Source organism: Homo sapiens, chromosome X (genome assembly GCF_000001405.40).
Source record: "Homo sapiens chromosome X, GRCh38.p14 Primary Assembly".
Classification (NCBI taxonomy): Eukaryota; Metazoa; Chordata; class Mammalia; order Primates; family Hominidae; genus Homo; species Homo sapiens.
Window position 1 is genome coordinate 117,384,516 of NC_000023.11, and position 12,005 is coordinate 117,396,520.

The window sequence follows — 12,005 nt, forward strand, 5'->3', positions numbered from 1 at the left end:
AGTTTTTCAAAGAAAATTCTTACTCATATCATCATAACTTCATTTTTATATGTTTAAAGTTACATCGAAAGATCCTCCTGCCTTTCTTTTTCTCACCTTAGCATAAACCTTGGAAAGACAGAGCTCTCAGTAGCACTGGGGAATCTTGGATTAATGAACTGTTTTAATCCTTTTCCCTAGCCTATCTGCCTCTTCTTGATGCCATAGAGAAGATAGTGAATCATTTCTGCCTAAATCTTGCCTTGCTAATATAACGTTTTTACCTTAGTCTTAACCTCCTAGATATATTTTCCAATGTCTGCTGAGTTACACATCTGTCCCTGTGTCTCCATGTACTATCATATTAAGCTTTGAGTAGGACATACTAGAGAAAGAAGATACTACCATCACTATCAGCACCGGGAGTATGTACTGAGTATCATACTAGGTACTTTACATATACTACCTATAATCTTCACAACTGCAGTATAAGCATAGGAACTATATTATTATTATCATCACATAGTTGCAGAGACAAAGAGTCAGAACAATTAAGCAACTTATCTAAGATCAGAGCTCTTGAAAAAAAAGCAAAATTTTAACTTAGCACCATCTTTGGCTAGCACTATATACCAACAAATATCCAAGACAGGTAATATAGCATGGAGTTGAACAGCACTGGTTCTAGAGCCAGACTGCCTGTGTTTAATTCCAGACTATCAATTACTGACTGCGTAATCTTGGGCAAGTTAACCTTTCTGGGCTTCAGGGCCCTCATCTGTAAAATGTGGATTATAACAGTGCCTATGTCTCATTGAGTTCTTGTGATGATTAAAAGACTTAATACACATGCCAGGTGCATGGTAAGGGAGAAATGGTAAGTTGTATTAAGTGAATTTCAATGAGCATGATGGTATCTAATCATTCACTGGTTAGATGACAAAGAGAAAATTAACCTCGCCAGATTAAGACAACATTACATGTCTGTATTTGGAGAAAGAAAGTTCAAATCTTGACTGGAAAATGAGAGTTGATGTTTCCATACTCCTAGACAAACACTGGACATTTTTCTAGGTCTTAAAATATTTCCCCAGACATATACTGCTTCCTCTTTCAAATGTATATCATCAGAACCTCCTTTTAAATGGCCTTTTTCAAATTTGCTAACTTAATGACTATGCAGTCTGCCCTCCACTGTTCAGGAAGATATTGGCAACCACACCGATTCAATGGCTCTTTATGACTAAGGACGCATATTGGACTCCTAACTTCAGAAAATCTACTTGTGGTGTCTTCTCAGTTTTTCCCATGTGAGGGAACATCATCCTGTAAGAAGTTTTTGAATCACTGTTCTCAGGGAGATCTCTGGGTGCTCTTAAATATTCCTGGGGCCTTCTTAAGTCCAGAAATAGGACTCCAGCTGATAACACTCAAGTGCTCACCTCATTTTAAATCACTGAATCACACTAAGGTTTTTGTGGGTTGTAAATGGTAAAGAAACAGGTGTCAACATTTCTAATACTCTCTGTTATTTAAATAATTCAAGAAGAACAGTAAAATAATATGTTCCTAGTAGCTCAGTAACCCTAAATTATGTTCCTGGAAATACTCTAGACAGTGAACATGTGGCTTATCTACAATATATCTCAAGATTTGGAACATGTAAAATATTTAATATGCTTTTCTTATTCCTTTGTTAAATTCAAAATAATAGCCTCACTTCACAGTGTCAAAAGCTGAAGGTCAATGAGGTCATGATTGGTTTGAATACTAAGGTATGTATTATTATATGTCTGTATTATACTATGAATACAAAGGTATGTATTATTACTAAATATTATGTTAAATATGGTACCCAAAGTTATTATTATTATTGCTGCATAACAAATCACCCCAAAATGTAATGGTTTTAAAAAAACATTTATTCCTCCTGTGGTTTCTGCGGGTCAGGGGTTTCTGAAAGGGCTCAGCTGAATAGTTCTGACTGGTTCAGAGTCTCAGATGTGATTGTGGTCAGATGGTGATTAGAGCTGGAATTGCAGGGGTTCTGGCTGAAGCAGTAGGGTGCAAGCCAGGTATTTTTTCCACTACATGTAGTCTCCACATGGTATAATCTGGGCATCCTCATGGCACTGCATGGTGGCCTTGAGACACTTGTTTATGTGGTAGCTCAGGGCTACAAGCAGGTATCCAAAAGAACCAGACATTATATCACTTTTTATGAACTAGTCTCAGAAGTTACATTGCATCATGCCTGCTATAGTCACAAGCCCATCCAAATTTAAGGGAAGGCAACAAAGAGCCCACTTCTCCATGGGAAAAGTGTCCACATTACTTTGTAAGAAGAATGTGTGGGATGGGAGATACTGTTGCAATCATCTTTAGAAAATACAATCTGTCACACTTGGCATTTATACTTTATATATTTTTTATTTATGTATCATATTTAAACAAGCTGGTTTTTGATGTTTTGATAAGTTGTTTGCTTTCACACAAAAGACATAATTGAGTGGGTAGACATGCTTTCCTACATCCACTCAGAACTATAGAAAAACCTACTGACACCAGGAAGGCATGGCTAAAGAACCACTATAAACAATTTTCCAAACCTCTTTGATTGTGGAGACTTTTTTACATGGCACTGATAGCAACATTTTCTGAAACAGTATTATGTGAGATATAGTTTGAAAGATTCTGTCATGATCCAACAGCAACAACTTTCTTCAAAGATTTACTATTTTCCAATTACAAATGCCCCATTTTAATATTATCAACATATCTGCTAACATACTTCTAGTCAAAAATTACAATGAGAAATGCTATTTCTTCTGTGTTCCAATTACGTGTAGATAGGTTGCTTTGTTATGTTGAAATTTATTGTTGGATGTTATCTGTCATTGATAAATGGACTTTCTAATTAAATTTCATATCTTTAGTATTAAACATGATTTAGCGCATGATATCAATTTGCATTTCCAGTGAAGGGGGAAAAAGTGAAAATTCATTGCTAAACATCTAGTAAGAAATTACCTTAGTGTGTACATGATTTATCTACTTCATTCTATGTCATAAATGATAGGCATATCCCCTGTGATCCAAAACCTTGGAAATTAATGTTTTATAATAACTTAATAGCATAGTATACAGATCACAACATTTAAGAGAAAGCAAATAAATCTATCATTTACTATTTTAGGACTATTTTAGCTAGAGACTAATTTGAAATGTTTTAATTGATATCTTCAATGTATTTTTGTTCAATTAGAGTTTTAAATGAGAGCTTAGAGCAATGGTGACCTTTAAATATCCTATTCATTTTAAGACCGCAGTAGATGATTCTAAACTAATTAATTATAACCATTATAAGTAAATGAGTTATTAGCATTCGTGAATTCTATAACAGCCAATTTGTTCCTGTTACCAAACTCTTGAAGTACCTATTTTATAATTTCTCAGAGATGTAACCATAGGAAGTAAGTGGTTGACAACATAAACCTTTATAATTAATGAGGGTAACTTTTCACCTTTTTGAATTATGTTGAAATGTACACAGAATCCAGGTAATACACCTCAAGGACTACTGTTTTCTTCAAAGTTAAAATGTTGTCTTACAGCTCTCAACTTCCTAGGGTTCATTTATTCAAGAAACATTTGCAGAGTACTTGCTTTGTTCCAGGTATGTTAGATACACTGTTAGATACCATGAGGGATAAAAAAGGAATCAAACACTGTCCTTACCATCCAGAAGCTTAAAACAAAGGAGGAGAGGTACAACATTTATGCAGGTTAGTGCACTATCACGCTAAATATGTTTGTTAAGTGTCATAGAGAGAAAGAAACCAAGTTGTTTCCTTGTAAAAATCATTTTTGCACAACTAATAGCATGTAGTAATTTATTATATTTGCCACCTCTTACCCCACAAAAAGCTATGAACATGCAAATAAAATACCTTTGATCTATAGTTCTTGCAATACAGGAAAATATATAAAATTGATTAAGGCTTTGATCAAGAAAGCTTATCAATTCTCCCCTTCATTTATAAATGGCCTAAAGATGATAACTGCATCCCTCTTTCCCCTCAACCCCATGCATACTTCTTTCTTGGAATGTATCTATACTTACTTATTTACTTCTTTATTTATTTGTGTCTCTGTATACATATATATTATATGCACATGTGTATAAATATGTATCTACTTATAAATATATATTTATATATACATATACAATGTAGATATATAAATATATATTTATATATACATATACAATGTAGATATATAAATATATATTTATATATACATATACAATGTAGATATATAAATATTCATATCTCAAGAAAGGAGTGTGATATATTTATATATTATTAATATAAGTAAATTTATTTAGCATACTAAATTATAAATAAATAGGTAGATAGATAGATAAATAGATAGAGATAGATATAGACATATCTCCTAAGGGAAGAATGCGAGGGCTGTGTTTAAATACATATATACAATGGAAGGAAAGAAGAAAGGAAAACAGATAAAAAAGGAAGGGAGTAAGTCTAGCATCTTTCCAGAATCAGGGAATTGAATGACATGTAACAATAGAACCACAGAATTATTTCTCACTAACCACTACTGCTACCTAAAAGACATGATTCAATAATCTCCAAGATTTCATAGCAATCACATCATCTAATTGATTGTCAGTGTTATGGTTTTAATTATATTAACAATACTTATCCAAATAAACAACTAGATATCCAAAGCACTGACTCAATTATGCTCTCTATTTCTGCCATGTAAGTATAGTCATGGTGTTTCTTCTCTAAATTTATAGATCTCAGTCATGAACTATAAAGCTTTTAGAGCATAGAGTCAATATATTGGTATAATAAACTTTGCTAGTTCTTCCATAGTATTGCAGAACAGGGTTAATTTATGTCAGGGACAAGAGATGTTCCTTATAGTTCTTGTATTGAATGTATACATTTTGAATTACTTTTTGCCTTGGCTTTCATTATAACACATGAGATATACTCCTTGGGGAAAAAATAAATAAAACCGAATAAAATAGAAGGGCTACAGAGGGGAATAAAGAACCACATTATATGACTTAAAACCATGTATTTAAGAAGAAAATGTTAATACTATTAAACTATGGTGCTTAAATTTATTCATAGCCCACAAAAACTTTAGAATTCCTAGAAGAATAAGACAAAGACCTCATAGCTTCATTAAATTCACTAGGAAAAAATACGCTCAACTCACACCAACCAACTCTTCCATCTCAAGTTCCTAGAGTTGAATGCATATGGCTTTTGAAGTCATGTTTCCTGGCCACTTTTGTGGATGCCACCAGCTTATTTCTAAATACAAACATGGGAGAGAATGGAGATGAGAACAGATGAACATGAAAGAGCCAAGGAATCAGAAGAATAGACAGTTGATAAAAAGAAAACAATAATTCTTATAACACACAAGTGTTAAGTAAGTAATGGCAGGAGGCACAGGAGTGATGCTGGAGATTTAAAGAAACTTATAAAATAAAGAAAAAATTCTAAGGAGGTGGCCAAGATGGCTAACTAGAAGCAGTTAGTGTTCATGGCTCTCACAGATAGGAATGGAAGGCGTGAGTAAATGAAGAACCTTCGAATGAAACATCCAGGAACTCACATTGGGACTAATCAAGGAAACAAACTGACCCACGGAGAACAGAGAAAAGCAAGGCAGGACAACAGCCCCCACCAGGAGCAACTTGGAGCCAAGGGAACCTCCCTCACTCAGGAAAATGGTGAGTGTATGTGTGACCCTGGGAATCCACACTACTCCTAGATATATTAGCAACCCTCAGGTTGTCAGGAGGTCCCCTCATGAACCCACTCCACCAGAGCCTTCAGTCTGTCACATAGAGCTACATGGAGTCTTGGCAGAGCAGCTTCTCAGGCACACATGGAGACCCAGGAGCCTTAGATACTTCGGCTTTCCAGCAGAAGTAACTGCAGCTCTGGCATGCGGGAGGTAAGACCCCCATACATACCCCTAGGAAAGAGGCTAAATCAAGGAGGCTGAGCAGTGACAGTCTGCAGGCCCCACTTCCACCACACCTCACAGGATAGACCCACTGTCTTGGAATTCCAGCCAGCTGCCAGTAGCAGCATTGCATCTCCCTGGGATGAGCTCCGTGGGGGCAGGGCAGGCGATCTGCAATCTTTGCTGTTTGGGTGACCTTGTCAGTCCTTCCAGCCTTCCGGCTTTGGAAAGGACAGGCCCACCTGAGGTGGAAGGGATCCCGCAGTACAGCATAGCTGTTACTGAAAAACGTGGCCAGACTGCTTTCTTAAGCAGGTCCCCAATCCTGTTCCTGCTTATTGGGTAGTATCTCCCAACCGGGGCCTCTAGCCACCCTGCTGGTGTTCTCCACCCGACAGAGATTTGAAGACTCTCTGGGGTGGAGCTCCCAGAGGGAGGGATGGGCCTCTATCTATGCTGTTTGAGCAACTTAGCTGTTCCAGCCTTCAGGATTTGGAGTGTCCAAGCCAACCGGGCAAAAGGGATCCCCCAGCACAGCACAGCTGTTTCCACAAAAAGATGGCCAGGCTATTGTATTAAGCAGGTCCCTAATCTCATTCCCCCTCTCCGAGTGGGATCTTTCAACCAGGGCCTCCAGCCACCCTTGCTGGTGTTCTCCAGCCAGCAGAGATTTGAAGCCTCCCTGGGATGGAGCTCCCAAAGAGAGGGGTGGGCCACCATTTTTGCTGTTGGAGTGACTTAGATATTCCAGCCTTGGGGCTTTGGAGGGTCTGAGCCAACCAGAGGAGGAGGCAGTCCCCCAATACAGCACAGCTGCTCTGTGAAAACGTGGCCAGGCTGCTTTTTAAAGCAGGTCCCTAATCCCATCTCTCCTCACTGAATGGGACCTCCCAACTGAGGTCTCCAGCCACCCCCATCAGTGCTCTCCAGCCAACATAGATTTGAAATCTCCCTGAGACAGAGCTCCCAGAAGGAGGGGTGGGCCGCCATCTTTGTTATTTGGGTGACTTAGCTATTCCAGCCTTTAGATTTTGGAGAGTCAAAGGTGACCAGGGGCTGTTGTAGGCTGCCAGCACAGCATAGTAGCCCTACACAAATGTGTCCAGATCAATATTTTTTTTTTTTTTAGATGGAGCCTCACTCTGTTGCCCAGGCTGGAGTGCAGTGGCGTGGTCTCAGCTCACTGCAACCTCTGCCTCCCAGGTTCAAGCAATTCTCCTGCCTCAGCCTCCCAAGTAGCTGGGATTACAGGTGCCCACCACCACGCCTGGCTAATTTTTGTATTTTTAGTAGAGACAGGGTTTCACCATGTTGGCCAGGCTGGTCTCGAACTCCTGACCTCAGGTGATCCACCTGCCTCGGCCTCCCAAAGTGTTGGGATTACAGGCGTGAGCTACCGCTCCCACCCCAGACAACATTTTTAAGCAGGTCCCTGATCCTGATCCTCATCATCGGGTGTGGCCTCCCAACTAGGATCTCCAGCTACCCCCACCAGTGCTCTCCAGCTAACATAGGTTTCAAATCACCCTGGGATGAAGCTTCCAGAGGGAGGGGCAGTCTGCCATCTTTGCTGTTTGGCTGATTAGCTATTCCAGCCTTCAGGCTTTGGAGTATCTGAGCAAACTGGGGACTGAAGTGGACCCCCAGCACAACATAGCTGCTCTATGAAAACATGTCCAGAATGGTTTTCTGAGTGGGGCACCAATCATATTCCTCCTCACTGGGTGGGACATCCCAACCGGGGTATCCAGCCACCACCTATAGGTGTGTTCAGGCAAGCAACAGGTCTGTACCTCCCTGGAACAGAGGTCCCAAAGGGAGAGGCAGGCTGCCATCTTTGCTGTTTCACAGCCTTCACTGGTGATACCTCCAGGTACTGGAAAATCTGAGGTGAATGCAGACAGGAGCAGGCCCCCAGCATACTGCAGCAACCCTGTGGAAAAGCAGCCAGACTATTACATGCATGGCTATTCCCATATCTCCTCACTAGGCAGATACTCCGGGCCTGGGCCTCCTTCACTGGTGATACCTCCAGGTACTGGAAAATCTGAGGTGAATGCAGACAGGAGCGGGCCCCCAGCATACTGCAGCAACCCTGTGGAAAAGCAGCCAGACTATTACATGCGTGGCTGTTCCCATATCTCCTCACTAGGCAGATACTCCGGGCCTGGGCCTCCAAACACCCCCCCATCCAACCAGAGCTATCGAGCCAGTAGCAACCTGACAACTCCCTGGAAAGAGCATCTAGAGGCAACTGAAAGTGTCTCTGCCACTGCCTCTGCAGTGGAACTCCCCTTACTGCCCTCAGACTAGCAAAGGAGCGAAGACCTTAACTTCCTTATCCACGCCTCCAAGAAGCTGCAGTCGACCCAAGGAGAGGAGGCTAGTTCATTTCCCACGTGTCCCACTGTATTAGTCCATTTTCACACTGCTATAAAGAACTACCTGAGACTGGGTAATTTATGAAGAAAAGAGGTTAATTGACTCACAGTTCCACAGGTTTAACAGGAAGTATGACTGGGATCACTTAGGAATCTCATAATCATGGCAGAAGGCAAAGGGGAAGCAAGAACCTTCACATGATGGTAGGAGAAAGATAGAGAGCATGAGGGGTGAAATGCCACACACTTTTAAACAACCAGATCTCATGAGAACTCACTCACTATCCTAAGAACAGCAAGGGGAAAGGCCACCCCCATGCTTCAATCACCTCCCACCAGGCCCCTCCTACAACATGTGGGGATTACATTTCAAGATGAGATTTCAGTGGGGATACAGAGCCAAACCATATCTTTCCACTCTGGCCCCTCCCAAACCTAATGTCCTTCTTACATTTTAAAATACAGTCATTCCTTCCCAACAGTTCTCAGAAGTCTTAACTCATTCCAGCATTAACTCAGCTACAAGTCCAAAGTCTCATCTGAAACAAGGCAAGTCCCTTTTGCCTATAAGCCTATAAAAATAAAAAAAATAAGTTACTTCCAAGATAAATGGAGCTACAGGAATTGGGTAAATGCTCCCATTCCAATAGAAGATATTGGCCAAAACAAAGGGGATACAGGCCCCATGCAATTCCAAAACCCATCAGGGCACTCGTTTCATCTTAAAATTATAAAATAATCTCCTTTGACTCCATGTTTCACATCCAAGGCACACTGATACAAGGGGTGGGCTCCCAAGGCCTTAGACAGCACCGTGTCTGTGGCTCTGCAGGGTACAGTCCATGTGGCTGTTTTACTGGCTGGCATTGAGTGCCTGTGGCTTCTCCAGACACACAGTGCAAGCTGTCAGTGGGTCTACCATTCTGGGTTCTGGATGATGGTGGCCCTCTTTTCACAGCTCCACTAGGAAGTGCCCCAGTGGGGACTCTGCAGGGGCTCCAACCCCACATTTCCCCTCTGCATTGCCCTAGTAGAGGTCCTCCATGAGGTCTCTGTCCCTGCAGCAGACTTCTGCCTGGACATGCAGGCATTTCCATACATCCTTTGAAATCCAGGTGGAGGTTCCCAAATCTTAACTCTTGCCTTTTGTGCACCTGCAGGCCCAACACCACGTGGAAGCCATGTCTTGGGGCTTGCACCCTCTGAAGCACTGACCTGAGCTGTACCTTTGCCTCTTCTCACCACAGCAGGAGCTGGAGTATTTGGGACACGGTGCGCCAGGTCCTGAGGCTGCACAGAGCAGCAGGGCCCTGGGCCCAGCCCATTAATCCATTTTTCCCTCGTAGGCCTCTGAGCCTGTGATGGGAGGGGCTGCTGCAAAGATCTCTGACATGCTCTGGAGACATTTTCCCCATTGTTGTGGCTATTAACATTCGGCTCCTTGTCACTTATGCAAATTTCTGCAGCCAGCTTGAAGTTCTCCCCAGAAAAATGGGTTTTTCTTTTCTACCACATGGCTGGGCTGCAAATTTTCCAATTTTTTATGCTCTGCTTCTGTTTTAAGTGTAAGTTCCCGTCTCAAACCATCTCTTTGTGAATACATATTGAGAAGTGACAGCGTGCTGGCAGTCCTCACAGCCCTCGCTCACTCTCGGCACCTCCTCTGCCTGGGCTCCCACTTTGGCAGCACTTGAGGAGCCCTTCAGCCCACTGCTGCACTGTGGGAAACCCTTTCTGGGCTGGCCAAGGCCAGAGCCCACTCCCTCAGCTTGCAGAGAGGTGTGGAGGGAGAGGCGCGAGCAGGAACCGGGGCTGCGTGCGGCGCTTGCAGGCCAGCTGGAGTTCCGAGTGGGCGTGGGCTTGGCGGGCCCCACACTCCGAGCAGCCGGCCGGCCCTGTCGGCCCTGGGCAATGAGGGACTTAGCACCCGGGCCAGCAGCTGCGGAGGGTGTACTGGGTCCCCCAGCAGTGCCAGCCCACCGGCGCTGCGCTGGATTTCTCACCGAGCCTTAGCTGCCTTCCCGTGGGGCAGGCCTCGGGACTGCAGCCCGCCATGCCTGAGCCTTCCCCCGCCTCCGTGGGCTCCTGTGCAGCCCGAGCCTCTCTGACAAGCACTGCCCCCTGCTCCACGGCGCCCAGTCCCATCGATCACCCAAGGGCTGAGGAGTGCGAGCGCATGGTGCGGGACTGGCAGGCAGCTCCAACTGCAGCCCCAGTGCGGGATCCATTGGGTGAAGCCAGCTGGTCTCCTGAGTCTGGTGGGGCCTTGGAGAAACTTTATGTCTAGCTCAGGGATTGTAAATACACCAATCGGCACTCTGTATCTAGCTCAAGGTTTGTAAACACACCAATCAGCACCCTGTGTCTAGCTCAGGGTTTGTGAGTGTACCAATCGACACTCTGTATCTAGCTGCTCTGGTGGGGCCTTGGAGAATGTTTATGTCTAGCTCAGGGATTGTAAATACACCAATGGGCACTCTGTATCTAGCTCAAGGTTTTTAAACACACCAATCAGCACCCTGTGTCTAGCTCAGGGTTTGTGAATGCACCAATCCACACTCTGTATCTAGCTGCTCTGGTGGGGCCTTGGAGAACCTTTGTGTGGATACTCTGTATCTAACTAACTGATCTGATGGGGACATGGAGAACCTTTATGTCTAGCTCAGGGATTGTAAACGCACCAATCAGCGCCCTGTCAAAACAGACCACTCGGCTCTACCAATCAGCAGGATGGTGGGGGCCAGATAAGAGAATAAAAGCAGGCTGCTGGAGCCAGCAGTGGCAACCCACTCGGGTCCCCTTCCACACTGTGGAAGCTTTGTTCTTTTGCTCTTTGCAATAAATCTCGCTACTGCTCACTTTTTGGGTCCACACTGCTTTTATGAGCTGTAACACTCACCGCGAAGGTCTGCAGCTTCACTCCTGAAGCCAGCGAGACCACGAGCCCACCGGGAGGAAAGAACAACTCCAGACGCTCTGCCTTAAGAGCTGTAACACTCACCGGGAAGGTCTGCAGCTTCACTCCTGAGCCAGCGAGACCACGAACTCACCAGAAGGAAGAAACTCCGAACACATCTGAACATCAGAAGGGACAGACTCCAGACGCGCCACCTTAAGAGCTGTAACACTCACCGCGAGGGTCCGCAGCTTCATTCTTGAAGTCAGTGAGACCAAGAACCCACCAATTCCGGACACAAAATGACTGTATGCTGTTAGGAGCAGCAAGGTTAAATCTTGAATGCTTTGCTGCTTAGAAATTTCTTCCAGCACATAACCTAAATCATCTGTCTTAAGCTCAATGTTCCACAGATCCCTAGAGCAGGGGCACAATGCCACCAGTCTCTTTGCTGAAGAATAGCAAGAGTCACCTTTGCTCCAGTTCCCAACAAGTTCCCCATCTCCATCTGAGACTACCTCAGCCTGGACTTCAGTGTCTATATCACTATCAGCATTTTGGTCAAAACCATTCAACAGGTCTCTAGGAAGTTCCAAACTTTCCACATCTTCCTGTCTTCTGAGTCATCCAAACTATTACAACCTCTGCTCATTACCCACTACCAAAGTTGCTTCCACATTTTCAGGTTATCTTTATGGCAGTACCTCACTGCTGGTACCAATATTCTGTTT